The following is a 20637-nucleotide window of genomic DNA, read 5'->3' as shown; positions in this document are numbered from 1 at the left end:
TACAGCTATTTTAAGTGTAAATTTCTTGGTTTTAATTTCTAATCTGGCAGACAATGATAAGACAAAAATCCACATGAAGAAAAGTTCCTTGGGGACCTCAATCACTTAAGAGGACACAAGGGTTTTGATACCAAAAGGCTTGAGGTCCACCACCTTAGGAGATAAAAGCACGGGGAAAGATCTTATTGTGGGAGCAGCACATAACAAAGATTATTTTGGCAACATGTGAGTGTAAAATGAAGTGGAACAGAGAAGCCAGACGAGTCAGGAAGCAGCAACCATTAAGAGCAAAGTAGTAAAGTGAAAAAATATATAAAGGCCTGGACTAAGACCAGAGCAGTGGGGCTAGAAAGGGTGAATTCAAACGACCTTTCAGAGGCTGAATTGACAGAATCAAGCCACCGACTTCAGCATCAGATAGAATCCAGGCTGGGTGCAGTGGCTCACACCTCTAATCCCAGCACTTTGGGAGGCTGAGGTGGGAGGGCTGCTTGAGCCTAGGAGTTTGAGACCAGTGAGATCCCATCTCTACAAAAATTTTTTTTTAAATTAGCCAGGTGTGGTGGTGTACAACTGTGGTCCTAGCCACTCGGGAGGCTGAGGTGAGAGGATTGCCTGAGCCTGGGAGGTTGAGGCTGCAGTTAGCCATGATCAATGATCATCTCACTGCACTCCAGCCTGGGTGACACAGCAAGATTTTATCTCAAAAAAAAAAAAAAAAAAAAAAAAAGTACAGGCTGCTGACTTAGTCCATGAATAGCTTACAAAGCTAAATTATAATTGCTTGTTCACCTATCTAGCTTAAGGGCAGGTACTAAGTCTATACTGTGTATAGACACAGTATTCAAAAATACTATAGGCAGACTGAGTTCTAAAAAATGTTCTCCAACACTAACTGGGTGTCCTACCATTCATTTCAATTCTGACACTACCGGAGTTAGTGCAGACTCCCCAAATCAAGGGCTTGGTCCCATAAGACTTCCCCACTTCAGATGCCAGCCTCAAGTCTTGCACTTCTGCCAGGCTGACTACAAATTTAGGGGTTCCCCTAACTCCACTTCAAGTTAAGTAATTGACTAGAACAACTCACCGAACATGGAAAAGCTCTGTGCAACTCAGGAACAGCCAAATGGAAGAGACTCACTGCACAAAGCATGGGGGAGAGGAAGTACAGAGCTTCCATGCCCTCTCCTCCTCTGTGCAATATAGGCACTCACCTTTCTGCACATCATGGGTTCACCAACCCAGCTCTCCGAACCTCACAGTTCCAGGGCTTTCGTTTGCAATTTCATTGCATAGGCATGATTAAGTAGATCACTGACCACGTGACTGAACTCAATTTCCAGTCCCTCTCTCTTCCCTGGAGCTGGTGGTGGCGGAGGGCTGAAAGTTCCAACCCTCCAATCCTGCAGTTTCCTGACTGCTTCCTCCGGACCACCCCCAATTCTGAGGGTGTCCAGCCCCTCATCCCCAGGAGCCAGTTCATTAGCATGAACTCAGATAAGATCCAAAAGGACTCATTATGAATAAGAAGACACTCCCACCACTCAGGAAATTCCAAAGATTTTGGAAGCTATGTGCTAGGAATCAGGAACAAAATGATATAAAATTATACCACAGACTATCTGACACACAGTAAGTAATCAATAAATAACTGCTGAAACAATGAACAAAAGGATAGATAATAGTATCATTCACCAAGATGGGATATACAGACAGAGGAAGAGGTTGGTCAGAAGAAAGGTGGCAGGTGAGCAATGCTCTAGATGTATTGAAGTTTTAAGCGCCCAATGGATCCAGTAGGTACAGTCATGCAGCCAGTAACATTTGAGTCAATGATGAACTGCACATACAATCGTGGTCCCGTAAGATTGTAACAGCATATTTTTACCGTGCCTTTTCTATGTTTAGATATGTCTCGATACACAAATACCACTGTAAATACTTGTGTTACAGCTGCCTACAGTATTCAGTATAGTAACAGGCTGTAGGGGTTTGTAACCAAGGAGCAAAATAGGCTATACATATAACCTAGGTGTATAGTAGGCTATACCACCTCGGTTTGTATAAGTAGTTGACCCTTGAATAACATGAGTTTTAACTGTGTGGGTCCACTCATATTCAGATTTTCTTCTACCTTTGTCACCCCTGAGACAGTAAGACCAACCCTTCTTCCTCCTCCTCAGCCTACTCAACGTGAAGACAATGAGGATGAAGAATGTTATGATGACCCACTTCCACTTAATGAATAGTAAATATATTTTATCTTCCTTATAATTTTCTTAATACTATTTTCCTTTCTCTAGTTTATTGTAAGAATAGAATATATCATACATATAGCATACAAAGTATGCGTTCATGGACTATGTTATCAGTAAGGCTTCTGGTCAACAATAGGTCATTAGTAGTTACGTTTTGGGGGAGTCAAAAAGGTTATATGATTTTTTTTAAAAACAGAATCTGGCTCTGTCGCTCAGGCTGGAGTGCACTGGCACAACCACAGGTCACTGTAACCTCAAATTCCTGGGCTCAAGCAATCCTCCTGCCTCAGCCTCCCTAGTAGCTGGGACTACAAGAGTACACCACCATGCCCAGCTGATTTTTAAAATTTTTGTAGAGATGGGAGTCTCACTTTGTTGCTTGGATGGTCTCAAACTCCTGGTCTCGAGCAACCTTCTCACTTTGGCCTCCCAAAGTGCTGGGATTACAGGCAAGGGCCACGGAGCCCTGCTTATATGTGGATTTGCCTGTGTTGGGGACCAACACCCCTAATCCCTCCCTTGTTCAAAGGTCAACCATACACTTTATGATGTTTGCACAAAGACAAAATCACCTATCAGAACATCATCATTACACGATGCAGGGTTAGAAAAAAAGACACCGCTCCAGGTACAGACAGATAAATACAGTGAAAATGACTGCCGTGGAAGACCAGTGAAATGTCAAAAGAGGGTATGAAAAGCCCTGGCGACAGCAACATTTTAAGGATAAGAAGCCCTCAAAGGGAATTGGGAAGTCCTAAATGTAACAGAGCAACAGGGCAAGGAAATAGCTGAAATGACCCATGCTGAGGTCACAGCTGCTTATGGAAAGAAATGAAACTAAGAGGAAACTGACAATCAGAGATAAAAGGAGAAGGTCAAGAAAGCTTCTGCAGAAAACCAAATACCGCATGTTCTCACTTACAAGTAGGAACTAAACACTGGGTACACACTGACACAAAATTAAGAACAATAAACACTGGGGATTCCAAAACGGGGGCAGGGGTTGAAAACCTACCTATCTGGTGCTATGTTCACTACTTGGGCAACTGGTTCATTAGAAGCCCAAACCTCAGCATCATGCAATAAACCTACATAGCAAACCTGTGCATGTACCCTCTGAATCTAAAAATTAAAATAAAAAAATTAAAAAAGGCCGGACATGGTGGCTCACGCCTGTAATCCCAGCACTTTGGGAGGCTGAGGCAGGTGGATCACCTGAGGTCAGGAGTTCGTGACCAGCCTGGCCAACATGGTAAAACCCCGTCTCTACTAAAAATGCTAAAAATGCAAAAAATTAGCCAGGCGTGGTGGCAGGCGCCTGTAATCCCATCTACTTGGGAAGCTGAGGCAGGAGAATTGCTTGAACCTGGTAGGCGGAGGTTGCAGTGAGCCGAGATCGCACGATTGCGCTCCAGCCTGGGCGATAGAGTGAGACTCTGCCAAATAAATAAATAAACAAATAAATAAATAAATAAAACAAGTGGCACGCCACAGACCTGATCTACCTACTCCGGGGGCTGAGGTGGGGGGACCGTTTGAACCCTGGAGGTAGAGGTTGCAGTGAGCCAAGATTGCACCACTGCACTCTCCAGCCTGGGTGACAGAGTGAGACTCCGTCTCAAAAAAAAAGCTTGTTTCAGTGGCTACACACTTGAACAGAATTCAAACTCACCCCCTATACAGATGCACACAACACTGTACACTGTGAATGTCTGTAGTATTGGTTTTTGCATGAGGTCAACATTTTATATGTATGTGAAAGGAAATGACACCACTGAAATACTACAACATTTAAAAGTAACTTCAATTATTAATTATTAATTTGTATGACACTGATCATACACTGAGTAAAGGCCATCTGTTTTGCCTGCCTAGCGTTTTTTTCTCCTCTTGACAGATCCTACTTCTCTTTAATGCTTTCTGTTAATTCCACGAGTTTAGGTACTGGTCTCACCAACTGGGGGAAAAGGTAGACCCAAGGCCCAGGAGAGCCAATGAGAGTACACGTTTCCCTTGGTCATATGATGGGTTCAGACACACGATCATGCCAGGCCAATCAGAATCCTTGGACTTGACAGGTATGTGAGTCACTACATTTCAATGCTGTGCTTCTTCCACTTGGAAATGAAAAAGCTCATACAAATACAATTATGAATAAAGAAAACTGTGGCAATAAAGCAACCTTCCTTTTTCTTCCTTCTCTCTCCTACAATCCTCTTTTTTCTCTCCCTATCACTTTTTCCACCTCCCCACCCAACTGCATTTAGATAGTGGACTACTTAAACTTATCACTGAGTTTTTTTTAAGTTAAGGATTCCTGATACATGACATCACCACGACACAGAAAGCTAATCTAAGAACTAAGCCCAGCCCCAGGTAAACTATTCTGTGATTCAACTTCTTGGTATTTCGACAGTACACTTTAGAGTCTTGTTTCAAGGCCCTTCGCAGTGGCTCACGCCTGTAATTCCAGCACTTTGGGAGGTCAAAGCAGGCAGATCACTTTGGGTCAGGCGTTCAAGACCAGCCTAGCCAACATGGCGAAACCCCATCTCTACTAAAAATACCAAAAAAAAAAAAAAAAAAAATTAGCCAGGCATGGTGGTGCCTGTAATCCTACCCACTCTGGGGGCTGAGGTGGGGGGATTGTTTGAACCCAGGAGGTAGAGATTGCAGTGAGCCAAGATTGCACCGCTGCACACTCCAGCCTGGGTGACAGAGTAAGACTCTGCCTCAAACAAAAAAAAAATCTTGTTTCAGTGGCTACACACTTGAACAGAATTCAGACTCACCCCCTATACAGATGCACATAATACTGTACACTGTGAATGTCCCTAGTATTGGTTTTTGCAGGAGGTCAACATTTTATATGGATGTGAAAGGAAATGACACCACTGAAATTCTGCAACATTTAAAAGTAACTTCAAAATTTCTTCCTTCCTGTTTTCCCTCAGCTAGAGATCTACACCGGTTTAAAACAGGTCCGAGCCAGAGTCCGCATTTGTAAAATGGCCTTTCCAATCAAATTGTGATTGCCTGAATTAGATTAAATTTTGGTACTTCCATGTTTCTTGCTATCCTTAACTGTTGATGTTATTATATGGAGAAAATAATAACAAATTCACAACGTCCCTAGACATAGTGAAAAAAAAAAAGAGACAAGGTAGTATCATAAAAAGAATATTGTGGTAAGAATGAGAAGAATGTTTAGTTCACAGTAACAGAAACTCCAGCTACCTAAATCAAGGGGAAGGAGGTAACCTTAAGAACTCAAGAACGAGAATGCAGCTGGACCAAGAACAGACTGGAAGAGAGTGGCTTAATGCTGTCAGAGAGTCAGGTAGTGTTCTCTCTGCTTCTCTTTAGACAGTTACTTTATTCTCCCCATCCATAAATCATCTTTCTTAGTCCCCAGACAGCAGAACATAACTGCTTATAACTCCCAATCCTTTACTTAGGGTCCTTGAGCATATTAAGGCCAAATCCTTCTCTATTGAGCCTAGTTTCAAATTTCCAGGGAAGAAACGAACACTGATTGGGCCAGGTTGGTCAGGTGCCCAACCCGAGTTCAATGTATTATGTCTTTTGTGTAGAGAAGGAGGTAGGAAGAAATTGGATGTGTAGGTTGAAGGGCACTTAGGGGATCTGTGTTGGGTCAGATATACATTCCAAAGGTTCTCATCACACAGTCTCAGCTTTGTACCTTGTCTCATAATCAAAATACGGAACTAATAACTAACGTTGATTCTAGACTCTTGCTAAGAGTCTAGAGTATAACAGAACTTAAGATAATTAAAGTGAATTTAAAAAATCAAAGGCCAGGTGCAGCGGTTCATGCCCGTAAGCCCAGCACTTGGGGAGGCTGAGGCGAGAGGTCCACTTGAGTCCAGAAGTTCATGACCAGCCTAGGCAACACAGCGAGATCGTCTCTCCAAAAAAAAAAAAAAAAAAATTAGCCAGGTGTGGTGGTGCGTGGCTGTGGCTGTAGTCAAAGCTACTTGGGAGGCTGAGGTGGGAGGATTCCTTGAACCTGGAAGGTTGGGGATACAGTGAATCATGGTCATGCCACTGCACTCAGCCTGGGTGACAGAGTGAGACAAAAGAGAGAAAGAAGAGACAAAGAGAGAAAGAAAGAGAAAGAGGAAGGAAAGAAGGAAGGAATTAAAGGGTAACAAGCATTCATCACTGTTTTAGAAGTTCCATGCCAATAAACAAATACAAGTTATGGTGGCTCATGCCTATAATCTCAGCACTTTGGGAGGCTGCGACAGGAGAACTGCTGGAACCCAGCAGTTCAAGACCATCCTGGGCGATATAACAAGACATCATCTCAAAAAAAAGAAAGACATTGGCCGGGCGCAGTGGCTCACGCCTGTAATTCCAGAACTGTGGGAGGCCGAGACGGGCGGATCACGAGGTCAGGAGATCGAGGCCATCTTGGCTAACACGGTGAAACCCCGTCTCTACTAAAAATACAAAAAATTAGCTGGGCGTGGTGGCTGATGCCTGTAGTCCCAGCTACTCGGGAGGCTGAGGCAGGAGAATGGCATGATCCCGGGAGGTGGAGCTTGCAGTGAGCTGAGATCGTGCCACTGCACTCCAGCCTGGGCAACAGAGCGAGACTCTGTCTCAAAAAAGAAAAAAAAGAAAGAAATACAAGTTAAAAATAAATTATAAATTCTAGGAATGAAAATGGTCCTTTATAAACATGATGGTCTGTATGAAAAACTCGAGAATTTTTAAAAAAGCATAGAAGTCTTAGAGGGCTGAGATTCTATCTTGGTTCAAGGCTACTCACCTAGAGCAATGCCAGGCATATACAGCGTGTACTCAAACATTCACTGAACAGCTAACTAAACTCAGAACTTCCCAATCACGGCTGGGTGCGGTGGCTCACGCCTGTAATCCCAGCACTTTGGGAGGCTGAGGAGGGCAGATCATCTGAAGTGAGGAGTTCGAGATCAGCCTGGCCAACATGGCGAAACCCCGTCTCCACTGAAAATATAAAAATTAGCTGGGCATGGTGGCACATGCCTGCAGTCCCAGCTACTCAGGAGGCTGAGGCAGGAGAATCACTTGAACCCGGGAGGCAGAGGTTGCAGTGAGCCAAGACTGTGCCACTGCGCTCCAGCCTGGGCAACAAAACACGACTCTGTCAAAAAAAAAAAAAAAAAGAACTTCCCAGTCACAGTACTTTAAGTGGATTATAGTTGTGCCAAAGATACTGATGCCCTCAGTTTTGGGGAACGATGCCTACAATTAGTACTAATTATTGCTACTAACACAGTACTAATATTATCTGGAATCACAAAGACTGAGAAGCATTGAATGCAAGACCAAAACATTGCTGGAACTTAGAGTTCCAGCAAGACAAGTTGGTTACCAAATAAATTTGTGTAAGGCCAATAGGCATTTAATAATCATTCACACTCATTGGTAATACAGAAAATAATGCAAGTTAAAACAAATAAAATTGGCTAAGATGTTTTTGGAGATGGTTTTACCCAGTCCTGGTAAGAGAACAGGAAACAAGTACCTTTTACATGATAGGGGGAATGCATCTGAGAGCGGTATGCTGCAAAGGCTTTACAAACAACTTTTGGTCCAAGAATTTTACCTATCTTTATTAAAAAGCAAAAAGACAAAGAATCTATAGGTCCAGCAATAAGTGACTGATTACATATATGACGATGTAGCAAAAAAGGCTGCAAATACAACACATTAAGTGAAAAACACAGGCTACAAAACTGTACGTACCTGAGGCTACAAACTGGCAAGGCAACGAAGACTGAATCCAGCCCTCAGGTATGCTTTGAACCCCAGTGTGTTAACAATAAAAAGTGTGGCCCACATAAAAATCAGAAGATTTCATATTAAACCCACATTCTCCTAAATAACTATAAGGTGTAGTAACACCAGGACGCATCCTCCCAGAACCACAAAGGTCTGGGTTGACTGGCCCTGGACCGTCCTGCCACCTTCAGTGCTCGTGGTCCCTAACAGGCCTTCAACTCTCCCGGGCTAAGTAGCTTCACACCAGGCACCTGCTGGGTAATTTGAGCATGTTGACCTTCACAGGGTATTAACAGTCATTATCACTGGATGGTAAGATCTTGGTAGGCTTTTAGTCTTCTTTCCTTATATATGTTTCCAAAAGTTTTCTTCAATAAACATGTATTCCTTTTGTAGTAGGAAAAAACATGTTATTTTTTAAATTACCAAATCACAACTGTAATATTAATCACTTCATCTACCAAGATCAAAACAACTAAAGATAACAGATAATGACTGTGGTTTAAAACTAATTGAACTAAGAATTAAAGTAAGGTTACGATTACTGCAGGATTTCCCTCCCTTTGATACTAATTAAAACTCCAGATTGGACAGACAACAGCAGCATTTTACAAAACAGATCTTCCTCAAAGAGAACAGCTTCTATAGACAATGCAAAAGCCTGCTATTTTAAGGATTCATTCCCATACATTTAAGATTTCTTTCACTAAAAAAAGGAAACAAAATCTCTCCTATAGAAACCTATATTCATAACCTCAATTAATTTGTTTATAAAGCTAAATAATTCTTGATCTTTGTCTTACACTGCTATTTCATTTGATCAATAGTAATAATTTTATGGGGTTCTCTTTTCCTCAGAGAAACTCCGGAAAGTTTACACAAATTACCATTCATCTCAAACCATTCCTGAGACCTCACAAAGTACACCACATTATCCTCATCACAAAGATAAAGCAGAAGGCTAGGTAGAAACGTCAACATCCATAGACAGCTGGAAGCCGAGTCAATGGAATGTTCCTCTCTATCCATCCTCCAATCCACTCCCACATGATACTCAGAAGGAGATTTTTAAACAAAAGCACATCATGGGACTCCCCTGCTTAAAACTTACATTAACTTCCTACTTCCCAGACATTCAGAGTCAAGTCCCAAGTGGGCCTCTCTCCTTCACTCCCCACCTGTCTCTCTTGCCCCCAGCACTTGCTCTGTACCAGCTCAGAGCCCTCGGGCCTCCAGGCTTGAAGGACCTCAAACACTCCTTGATTTAATAAACCAACAAATAACCCTTGCGTGTCTGCCAGGCAGCAGGCGCTGCTCTAGGGCCTGGGGCTAGCCCCCTGGACAACAGCGATACACTCCCTGCCCTCATGGAGCTAACATCCTGGTAACCCCGCTACCAAGTTTCTTCCTCCTGTAATCATTTAAAGAATATTAAAACAACAATTGTAATAACTGTATCTGAAGGGGTCTAAAAATAAGCAGTGCTACCTATAATACAGATCTATTCTCATTTAATGACTTTAATATTAGCTCTTTATATTAAGTGCAGGAAAGAGGAAAAATAAAGGCAAAGGGAACTACTATTCATTGAAATCTGCTATATACCAAGAATGGCACTCATTTTCTTGTCAATTTTTCAAGGTTTCTCTCATTACTAGCTATATAGCTTTCATTCATCAGTGGCCAAAATGCAATTCTCCAATTCTGCAAGACTGGGGCAGCTGAGTTTCAGATAACTTCAGAAATTGAAAGATAACTTGGTTTTAAAATCTACTATCTTAAGTTCAGAGCGGAAATGAATTGATTTTTGTGAAACACTGGATCCACAATGAACACTCCTATTATAGATAACACACTGGAATGATATATGTGTTTACACAACATTTTGTCTGTGTTAGAACAATAAAACCGGTCAGGAAATTTGCCTTGCAGAGAAGTAATTAACCCTGTACACACACACAGGCAAACAGACACACACACACAAAACGAATGGCTCCAATTCGTTGGAGCTCCAATTCCAATCTTGTTGCAGTGCTTTTATGGTAAGAGTCAGCGTCCTTCTTAACTAGGTTGGTTAAAGCCTGACACTAAAAGCCAGCTGACCTCGTCCACGTCCATGAACTGTATCCATGTCTTGCAAATGCATGCCACCAGACACCAGAACGATTTGCAGACATAATGCAAGGAGGAACACATCAAATGCTCACCAGTGCAACAGAGGAGCAAGAGCATTGTCCTCCTGTATTAAAAAGAGGATGTTTAATTTTAACCACCAAGGGTAAAATTCTGACCACTTGCTGTGTTGCTATGACCTTGTTATTTTCTTTCTTTCTTTTTTTTTTTTTTTTCTGAGACAGAGTCTCGCTCTGTCGCCAAGGCTGGAGTGTAATGGTGCGATGTCAGCTCACTGAAATCTCCACCTCCTGGGTTCAAGCAGGGAATTGAAGCAATTCTCCTGCTTCAGCCTCCCAAGTAGCTGGGATTACACTTGTGCGCCACCACGCCCGCCTAATTTTTGTATTTTTTAGTAGAGATGGGGTTTCACCATGTTGGCCAGGCTGGTCTCAAACTCCTGACCTCATGATCCGCACACCTCGGCCTCTCAAAGTGCTGGGATTACAGGTGTGAGCCACCACGCCCGGCCAGACATTGTTATTTTCACATTCGAATTCACTTGAATTCAAAATTCTGCCACAGCCCTCAGCTCAACTCCTGGCTCCACCACTCAATGAAGGGCCAAACGCACTACCACATGACTCCAGCAGACCCCATACCACACAAAAACAATGACAGGTTTTGGTGACCAACTGAAAACTGAGCTAGGCAGCCAAACTCAGTCCAGAGAGCTGAAGCCAAAACAATTTCACCAATGTTCTCTCTGGGCAGTAAGCTAATAAAGCAAGCTACCTATCATTAATTCTACTAGAAAAACACCGAAAGAGCAGTGATGCATTAAAATAGATTAACTTGCTTAAAATTCACTTTCTTAGAGAGCTACGAACTTTAGGAACAAAACTGGAGTGACATTCTACCATCCCATGTATTAATAAAAATGTTTTGGTTTACTTTTCAGTGATCTCCCAGTGGATGATATCTCTCTACACTGAGGCCTTCACATTCAGGAAGCAAACTTCCTTAGGCCACTTTCTATCTCCAAAGTGGCCAACATTCACATTCAGGAAGTAAACTTCCTTAGGCCACTTTCTATCTCCAAACTCGCCAACATGGAACTACCTGGACACACACACCCAGCTGTCTCCCTCATCACACTTCTGTACAGTCTTGCGTTTCTAAGACAAGTCCACATCACAAGTGAACTGCCTTTTCAAATTTCACTAGTCTTCTCTAGCACTCTAATCCTGTTTTTCATGCAGGGGTACTTTAGGAAAACCACTACAGAGTAAAGGATAACAAGACTACTTTAAGGATGAATGCTGGACAGTTGATGAGGCTAATTTTTCTCTCTCTCCTCTTTCTTTCTCCTTCCTTCTCTTTCTCTTTCTCTCCTTTCTTTTCTCTCTCTCTTGCCCTGCCCTCCCCTTTCTTTTTTGACAAGATCTCACTATGTTGCCCAGTCTGGAGTGCTGTGGCATCTGCAGCCTCCAACTTCTGGGTACAAACAGTCCTCCCACCTCAGCCTCCCTAGTAGCTAGGACTACAGGTGGGCATCACCTCACTGGGCTACTTTTTAAAAAATTTTTTGTAGGGTCTTGCTATGTTGCCCTGGCCAGTCTGGAACTCCTGGGCTCAAGTAATGCTCCCACCTTGGCCTCTCAAGTATTGGGATTACAGGAGTGACCCACAGCACCGGTCCCAAAGCTAATTTCTGAGCTAACTTATGTGACCAACTCTTCAGTGAAAGGGATTCAAATTTGTGCCCCACCCAGTTTATATATTAGTACATGTCAGAGAACCTCTTAGTTACTCCACAACAGCAATCGAGAACATAAAAAGTACCCAAATGCCTATAAAACATGTCTAGGAAACAGGCTAAGAGTTTTGGACTCTACAGTAAAAATCTGCTCAGACACTTGCTGGCTCTCTAATTGCTGGTACCCTAGTTTCCAAGGCATCTGTAAGATGAGAGTTTTTTGTGAAGTGAGTTAATGTATATAAGATGCTGCAAAAGAACTTAATCGACATTAGCTATCACTATTACCCATGCACAAGATTTCTGAGTTTCCATATCACACTACTAAACACATTATACTAACAGTCCATTCTTCTTCCTAAAAGCAAAAATTCACTAGGTTTGTCACTGGTTAAGTCATTCCATAAAATGGGGGAAGGTACAAGGGGCTGGGAGACTGGAAGTCTGATATACCATGGTAAGAGTATAAAATGATACAATCTTTCTAAATGACAAATTGGAAATACGGATTTAAAAAATCCTAAAATTTAGCATAGGCTTTGATCCTGCAAATTCCATTTGTAGAAATTTATCCTAATGAAAATAATCTCACAAGTACATTCAGAGACATATGTAGAAGGACAGTCACTGCAGGGTTATAAGTAACCGTGGAGGAAAAATAAACAAACTAATGTCTAATAAAAATAAATTGGCTAAACCACCAGAGATCCATGACTGGGTGTGGTGGCTCACGCCTGTGATCCCAGCACTTTGGGAGGCTGAGGCAGGTGGATCACCTGAGGTTAGGAGCATGAGACCAGCCTGGCCAACATGACGAAACCCCATCTCCACTAAAAATACAAACATTAGCCAGGCATGGTGGCAGGCATGTGTAATCCCAGTTAATCAGGAGGCTAAGGCAAGAGATTCATTTGAACCTGGGAAGCGTAGGTTGCAGTGAGCCAAGATTGAGCCACTATACACCAGCCTGGGTAACAGACTGAGACTCCGTCTGAAAAAATAAAAATTAAAAAAAAAACTACCATAGATCCATAAAACGGAATATTATTTGGTTACTAAAATTGTTATAATGCAATATATATATAGGAAAAGACACTCATGACAAGATGTTAAGCAAAAAAAAAGCAGGTTACAACCATATGTATAGCAAGATCCCATTTTTGTTACCAGAAATTGTATATGAATAGCCATATGCACACACACAAAAGGATTTGAAGAAATATGTATGCAGGTAGTAGACTTACGGGTATTTCATAGTTTTCTACTTTATACTTTTCTGTATTTCAATTTTTCTACCATAAAACAATTATCTTTTTAAATACAAAGAATATTAGTTGCTCATCATAAACTATATTTTAACCTAAAAGAGATCAGGAGATTTAGTATTTATTTTCAAAACTTATATTAATACATATTTGATAGCTTATTAAATACTTTCAATGTTTAGTCTAGTCATTCAATTAAAAAAATTATACATAGTACCAAGGAGTTAGCAATAAACTTTTTTTTTTCTTTTTTTTTTGAGACAGGGCCTTGCTCTGTCACCCAGGCTAGAGTGCAGTGGCACAATCATAGCTCACTGCAGCCTTGATCTCCTGGGTTCAAGTGATTCTCCCACCTCAGCCTCCGAAGTAGCTGGGACTATAGACGCACACCACCAAAGAAACTTCTTTTTTAAGCAACAGATTTCTACTTACTATCATAAAAGTCCAGTAGTACAATAATTAAATGGGTTAGCTTTTGAGTTTTAGGTATTTTTATACACCCCAATTCTTTATCATCACTGTAACTACCATTTATTAAGTGGATGTGTCTCAAAAACTTAGGTAAGCACTTAGAAGTATGTGAACTTTATTATTACTATTTCCATGTTCAGCTGAGAAATGAGGCATTGAGAGGTTAGATCAAACTCCCTGACTATGTGTGGTCAAACACAATATTCTCCAAAGTTTGAGCTCTTAACTACATAATATCTATGGTGCCCTGTGGTGAACTCTTGAAAAGAAGGTGTAAAGGTCAAATTTTATTAGTATGAAAAGTGAAATTGGAAAACATAACAATTTTCTCTATTTGCTAGAAACCAATTTTTATAGCAGTATGTTGGACTTATGGTTTATAAAATGATATTTTGATATAAGACAATATACCAAATATAAGTTTGATATATGATTTACCACTACACTGTGACTTAAATTTACATTTTGACTCTCTAAGCAAATGCTTTGTTCTGAATCTTCTTTCTGGCTAATCACCTTGAGCACACTACGCCTGGGAAAGGCTCTCTCCTTTCTAAACTAACCAAACTTACAGAAGTCACTGGGGTATAGTGCTTGTGGCTCCTAATTTATAAAATCAGTGACTACTAAAAAAAATTTTTTTGTAATATGCTGGGCTTTAATATGCCACTAACTGATAGATTAATTTGACAAGTAACTTTTAAAAGATTGGCCTCGCTGCAATGTAATTCACGTATTCACTCAACAAATGTTTAATTGAGTTCCTCCAGGCACTGTTTTAGGCCCTGGAGGTAGAGGGGTGAACCAAAGCCTCTGCCTTCTGAAAGGTGTACGACAGGTAAAATTACGCAATCACAGTCAATTGTTTTTTATTAGCAGCCTAAGGGATAAAACTTAATCTGCTACTTGAAAAACTTTCTATCCACTTCAGGAGCTAGTCTCAGGAGATGCTCAGAGAGAAGGAAGCCAGTGGTTTCCAACTTCCCTATGCAGGAGAAATTCCTGGAGAATGCATTAACAACACCAATTCCAGGGCCCCACCTCTAGCTGTCTGATTCTGAAGCGAGGTGACAGAAACCCGTATTTATTTTTATGTATTTATTTACTTACTTACTTTTTGGACACAGGCTCGCTCTCTCTGTCGCCCAGGCTAGAATGCAGTAGGGCAATCATGGCTCACTGCAGCCTCCATCTCCTGGGCTCAAGCGAACCAGATCCTCCCACCTCAGCCTCTAGAAAAGCTGGGAATATAGGCACGAGTCACTAAGCCCAGAATATTAAAAAAAATTTTTTTTTAGAGACCAGGTTTCCCTGTGTTGCCCAAGCTGGTCTCAAATTCCTGGGCCCAAGCTATTCCTACTTCAGCCTCCCAAAGTGTTGGGATTACAAGTTTGATCCACCATGCCCAAAACCTATATTTTTAACAAGTGCCTCCATTAATGCTGATGTAAGTGATCTGAGGCCCACACTTTAAGAAACCCAACCAGTTAAGTGGAGCCATTCAGGAGGAAGTGATCATTCAGAAGGGAACAGCTCTATGGCAGAAGAATTTGAGGTGCATAATATAATCCCAACTCTCGTGTCATCAATTCTCTACAACTCACAAATGTTAGCAAATTAAAAAGATAATTTAGAGTAGAGGAATTTGGACGAAGCATGGTGGCTCATTCCTCTAATCCTAGCTCTTTGGGAGGCTGCCTAGGTGGGAGAATCGTTTAAGGTAGGCGTTTTAGACCAGCCTGAGCAACACAGAGAGACCCTGTCTCTAGAAAAAATTTTAAAATTAGCTGGGCATGGTGGCGTGCATCTGTGATCCCAGATACTCTGGAAGCTGGGGTGGGAAGATCACTGGAGCCCAGGAGGTCGAGGCTGCAGTATGCCAAGATTGCGCCACTGCACTCCAGCCTGTGACATAGCCAGACCCTGCCTCAAGAAAAAAAAAAAGGAAAGGAATTTACCAGCAGCTCCTCCTTAATCTCTTACAGGAGGCTTGATAGTTTGTCCCAGTCTAGGCACTTGGGGAAAAGATAAACTTGAGCAGAGGTTCTACTACCAATATTGAAGATAAGCTTTAGGGAAAAGAAAATTGCTAGTCGACTGCCAAAAAAAAAAAAAAATGCTAACAGCGACAAACATTTCACAGAACTAACTTGCTACCACTCATTTTATGCCCTATTTCACAATGCTTAGTATCTGTGCAATCCGCAGGGTTCCAAAGTACATTAAAAATTTGTTCATTTCCTCTCTTACTCAGGCAGAATAATAAAAGAGTTTTGTGACGGTACCATGCGCCGTAGCAATTTCAACAGAAGCATTCCTAGATAAAGAAATACCATTTTTTTAAAAAAAGATCATACTATCAGAAATGATCTCCACTGGACTACTTAAAGGTGTCTGAAATAATTTTAACACCATCATCAAATTAGTGTCCCTCACTTCTTAATTTATATGACTTAAAAGTCCCTGGATTCTTTACAAACCCATCTGCACTAAGGATTTTTCTTTCATATGTATGTATTTTTCAATGTTTTTACTTACAAGGAAACTCCCATCAAAATAACGTTTCAAGCACACCAGTAAAAGAAATTTTAAACAGAAACATATTTTGTTCTCAGAGATAAACTAAGAAATAATAACTATGAAGGATGTTTAAGCTTCTGCACTCTCAACCTTAAAGTCATCTAAAAATAAAGGTATCCCAACAAATACATTCCTCCTATTCATATTTTGGGGGTTTAGAGTGGCACCATGCAAACCAGCTGGCCTGCTGGGTCCTGGCCCCAGTTCCTGCCCTCACATCCTGTCCACTACATAATCCATGAGATCTCTGTGCCTTTCTTTTCATCCGTTCCACGGGATTAGCAAAACTGCCTCCCCGCTGACAGAACTGAGAATTTCTAGAGGCATTTGTTTGTATGGGATTTGCTGTTATTATCTACCCTCTTCATTGGCCTTGCCTTTATTATCTGTACGTTTTGATCAAGAGGAGCAGCAAGAGAAGAATGCCAACAGACAAGCACAAAGAAACGCATCTGGCCGGAGCCTGCATGTATCTAAATTTCCAGGTTGCTGCTGCCCTCAGAATAGCACTGATGATGGCAAAGTTCTAGAGGAAACTTTCATATTGAAGAGGCTATAAAAATCTCTATAGCCTCCAACTCCACAGAGAAGCCGCTAATCTATTTCTTCCAAAGCAAAGCCTTCTTGAGTCTGAATCACAACAAAAGATTGCCCATAGGAAATGTAATCTCCGAAGTTGTTTTCTAATCCCAAGGCAAGCAGAAGCGCAGGAAGGTGCGGCCGATTCCTCGCCGGTTTCCTTTTTTTGGGAATTCGGATTGCATTCGTGCAAGCAAGGGACTGCAATTGTGTCTTGGGTCCACACCACAAAACCGTGTCGGTGCGTAAGAAGGGAAGGGACGCGGCGGACCCGGGGACGCGCTCACAGGGCGCGGAAGACGCTCCCCTTTAAATGCCTTCAGGGGCGGCCCCGCGGCGCGCCCTGGGGCCGAACGGCATTGCCTGCCCTTCACTGACCCAGGATTCTGCAGGCTTGCGAGCGAGGGGCCGAGGAAGGAGCCGGGGCTCCAGGCAGAGGCGGCGCCGCTCCCGCCAACGCGGGTCCCCGGGAGGCCGGCGGGAGGCGAGGCCGGGCCGCCCCTCGCCGGCGGCCGAGGGCAGCGAGGTCAGCCCGGGAAGGAGCGGCCGCCCGGGGTCCCCGCGAGAGGAGGGAGCCCGCTCGGCGGCGGGGCCGCGGCGCCCATTCATCCCCACGCCCGTCCCGCGGCCGCCACCCCACGGCCCACCGCGGCCCCCGGCCTCCCAGTGCGGGTCCGCCCGCCACTCCGCCGCCACCCCCGAGGACGGGAAGGACAAGGCAGAGGGGCAGCCGCTGCCGTCTCTCGGGCGCGCGGCGAGGGGCTAAGGGCGGCCGGGGAGACAAGCGCCGGGCGCGGGACGGATGCCCCGGGCAGCCATCGCGCAGACCCCCGCGCCGACCCCCGCCCCCGCTGCAGCCGCCCGTGGTCCAGGCCGCCGCCTTGCAGCCCTCTCCTCACCTCATCTCCGGGCGGGTCCGCGCTGCCGCCCCAGGGACAAATCAGTGCCGCTCACGCGCCGCTGGGAGGGACGCAGGAGCCGCAGCCCCGCACACCATCCCCGCCCGCCTCTCTGTCCGTCCCGGAGCCCGCTCGGGATTCTTCCTCGCGAGCCGCCGTACTACGGAGCAACCAAGCTACGCTCCCTCCCCTGGCGCCTCCACTCTTCTCTACCTCCTTCGCTCCCTCCCTCGCTCCCTCGCTCCCGCCTATCTCCTCATCTCCCTCCGCTGCCTCCCCCGCCCCCCATCCACCATCCATCTCCGCCCATAAGTGGGTGGGGAAACCGCCAGCCAATTGGAAGAAGGGGCCCGCACCTTCTCACCACCCCCTACCACTGGCCCCGCCCACCGTGCGAACCCAAAGAGGGTGAGCCAAAGAAATGTAAGACAACAGAGTGACAAGCCGAATGAGCCAATCAGCAGGGGCTGTGTGGGGGCAGGATTAGCACTCTCCCCCTCCTCCCCATGTAGGCGTAACAGGAGATTTATGGTCTGAGGTTGCCTATCGTGGTTTATGGAGATTTTGTTGCACGATTTCGGTGCATCTGCTCGTTGCCGTGAGAGACACTAGATAGGATGCACTTAATTGACTTAATTATTGGAGGTTTTCAAGGAGAGAATAATGTGGAAAGGAAAAAGGCGAAGCACAACCCAAAGGGGTTGGCCGGGCCTATGGTTGGAATGAGGAAGGGTGTGGTCTTCGGCTAAAATTTGCATAAAACGGAACCCATCCGGGCGATTCCAACTTCGCCCATTTATTGGTAGTCCTTGGGGCGGGGCCTCGCCTCTTTCTCCGCCCCCGAGCGGAACATGACGGGAGATGTAGTTCCGAGACCGGTTGCCATGGCGTTCTGGACAGCCTCGCGAGTCCGACCCCGCCCTTCAGGAGTGACGAGCGGCCTGACCAATGGGAGCAGGGGGCGGGCTCTCTGACGAAGGACTGGAAGGTGGCGGTGGTGAAGGTGCAGGCCGTTGGGGCGGCTCAGAGGCAGGTGAGCCCCGGGAAACGCGTCCTGTGTCTTGGGAAACGGGCCTTTAAGCGAAAGGTGGAGAGATGCCCCACAGAACCGTGCAGCCCTGGGGAGGATGGTGGTTCGCGTCGAACCCTAACCTGGGACTTGTTCGGGCCCAGGCCTAGCTTAGCTGAGGCCGCTGAGGGGTGGGTAAGACTAGATTTGAGGGACAGTTTCCTGGACCTTGACGGGTTTTGATTGTAGGTCTTATCTCAGTTTGCATCTCCCTCTACTTTTATGGAGGCAGAGGTCTGGGAGTGCCCTTCCACTTAATCTCCCAGGTTGGGTTTTTCTCCTCTGCTTCTTGTTCCTAGAATTTGAGTGTCTTTTTCTTTCTCTGTTACTTCTTCTCAGCCACTTCTTTCTTCCTCATCACTTTGCTGTTTTCGGAAAGCAGTTAGTAGTTATTCGCTGTATGTGGCTTTTGAGCCAGATCGGCCCTCTTCATTATGCTAAACGGCGGAATCATCTGGAGCGAGATGTAAGCATCGCCTTGGGATAGGTCTGGGTCGGGGCCGAACATCTGCGTTTCTAAGAAGCTCCCAGGTGCTGCTGTCCACGTTATGAGTAGAAAGGTTTTACCTGAACTCTGTCCAGTACAAATATAATGCGAGTCCCTTATGTCATTTTAATTTTGGGGTAGCTACATTTAAAAAGTGAAAAGAAACACGTGAAATTAATTTTAATTATATGTTTCATTTAGCCTAGTATATCTGAGACATTATCATTTCAACGCTTAAACAAATATTTAAAAATTGAGATTTTACGTTCTTTTCTTCGTATTAAATCTTCAAAATTAAATTAAAAAATTAATTCTTCAAAATTAAATCTTCAAAATCTGATGTGTATTTTCCACTTAACAGCGCATCTCAATTCCGACTAGACACAGTTGGAGTGCTCAATAGCCACCTGTGCTAGTGGCTGCTACAGTAGCCTACTGCAGAAATTAAAAGGTGGGAAAAATAAGGTTGCATTGACCAAACCCTTTGCAACTCTATGAGATGGGATTCAGAACTACTTTAGAGATTCTCTGTAATTGAGATGTGCCCAATTTACAGAAATAATAGTCAAAATAGCCAACATTTCTGAAAGTATGATGTTGCGCTGAGTGCTTTGCAGGTATTATTTAATCCTTATGGCAACCCTCTGAGATAACTGCTATTATTATCTAAGATATGGGATCTCAGGCCCAGAAAGGTTAAAATTAAGTAGCCCAAAGTCATACCGCTAATAAGTAGGAAAGCCCCGATTCAAACTCGGGTCAGTTATGACTTCTAAATCAGATCCCGCAGCCATTGCAGTGTATAATTACTACCTTTTATCACTAATTTCCCTTATCGATGCCTCTGTTCCAGCTTACAGCAGGGGATAAGACGTTTAGATTTGAAAGTGAGGTAGTTCGCCATACAAGATAAAGCTGCCAGCCTTGTGCAATGAAATATTTCTAAGATTAACTATGCTCTTTTTGTAGACCCAATGAACTACATTGAGCTCAGGAGAGTTTTATGAGCAGAAGAGCAAAAATACACATATTGGCCGAGCGTGGTGGCTCACGCCTGTAATCCCAGCACTTTGGGAGGCCTAGGCGGGTGGATCACTTGAGGCCAGGAGTTCGAGACCAGCCTGGCCAACATGGTGAAACCCCGTGTCTACTAAAAATACAGAAATTAGCCGGGCATGGTGGTGCACGCCTGTAATTCCAGCTACTCAGGAGGCTGAGGCAGGAGAATTGCTTGAACCCGGGAGGCGGAGGTTACAGTGAGCCAAGATCACGACCACCACACTCTAGCCTGGGCAACAGAGTGAGACCCTGTCTCAAAAAAAAAAAAAAAAATACACATCTATATATGCTAAAATATGG

The 20637-nt window shown here is 43.9% G+C and overlaps 2 protein-coding genes across 26 annotated transcripts in view, besides 5 other annotated features; one reads left to right on the top strand and one right to left on the bottom strand.

The window, feature by feature from the left end:
- ITSN1 (intersectin 1) overlaps positions 1-17935 on the bottom strand; it is a 257361-nt gene extending 239426 nt beyond the window's left edge. For all 25 annotated transcript variants that reach the window (XM_017028428.2, NM_003024.3, XM_017028431.3 and 22 more), the window contains exon 1: positions 17723-17935. The gene's annotated coding sequence lies outside the window, so the exon portion shown is untranslated. The remainder of the gene's footprint in view (positions 1-17722) is intronic.
- Positions 3166-3665: an enhancer, noted in NCBI's record as "H3K27ac-H3K4me1 hESC enhancer chr21:35029077-35029576 (GRCh37/hg19 assembly coordinates)". NCBI's record gives its function as "activates a minimal SCP1, AML or CMV promoter by ChIP-STARR-seq in primed H9 embryonic stem cells {active_cell/tissue: H9 hESC(primed)}" and the evidence as "EXISTENCE:reporter gene assay evidence [ECO:0000049][PMID:30033119]".
- Positions 17177-17306: a silencer, noted in NCBI's record as "silent region_13265". NCBI's record gives its function as "represses an Ori minimal core promoter by ATAC-STARR-seq in GM12878 lymphoblastoid cells {active_cell/tissue: GM12878}" and the evidence as "EXISTENCE:reporter gene assay evidence [ECO:0000049][PMID:35858748]".
- Positions 17627-17726: a silencer, noted in NCBI's record as "silent region_13264". NCBI's record gives its function as "represses an Ori minimal core promoter by ATAC-STARR-seq in GM12878 lymphoblastoid cells {active_cell/tissue: GM12878}" and the evidence as "EXISTENCE:reporter gene assay evidence [ECO:0000049][PMID:35858748]".
- Positions 17737-18076: a silencer, noted in NCBI's record as "silent region_13263". NCBI's record gives its function as "represses an Ori minimal core promoter by ATAC-STARR-seq in GM12878 lymphoblastoid cells {active_cell/tissue: GM12878}" and the evidence as "EXISTENCE:reporter gene assay evidence [ECO:0000049][PMID:35858748]".
- Positions 18547-18956: an enhancer, noted in NCBI's record as "active region_18383". NCBI's record gives its function as "activates an Ori minimal core promoter by ATAC-STARR-seq in GM12878 lymphoblastoid cells {active_cell/tissue: GM12878}" and the evidence as "EXISTENCE:reporter gene assay evidence [ECO:0000049][PMID:35858748]".
- CRYZL1 (crystallin zeta like 1) overlaps positions 18695-20637 on the top strand; it is a 52401-nt gene continuing 50458 nt past the window's right edge. Inside the window, exon 1 of the mRNA NM_145858.3 lies at positions 18695-18755. The gene's annotated coding sequence lies outside the window, so the exon portion shown is untranslated. The remainder of the gene's footprint in view (positions 18756-20637) is intronic.

Source organism: Homo sapiens, chromosome 21 (genome assembly GCF_000001405.40).
Source record: "Homo sapiens chromosome 21, GRCh38.p14 Primary Assembly".
Taxonomy (NCBI): Eukaryota; Metazoa; Chordata; class Mammalia; order Primates; family Hominidae; genus Homo; species Homo sapiens.
Note: the sequence above shows the minus strand (reverse complement) of the source record. Positions and strands in the feature narration are given on the sequence as shown.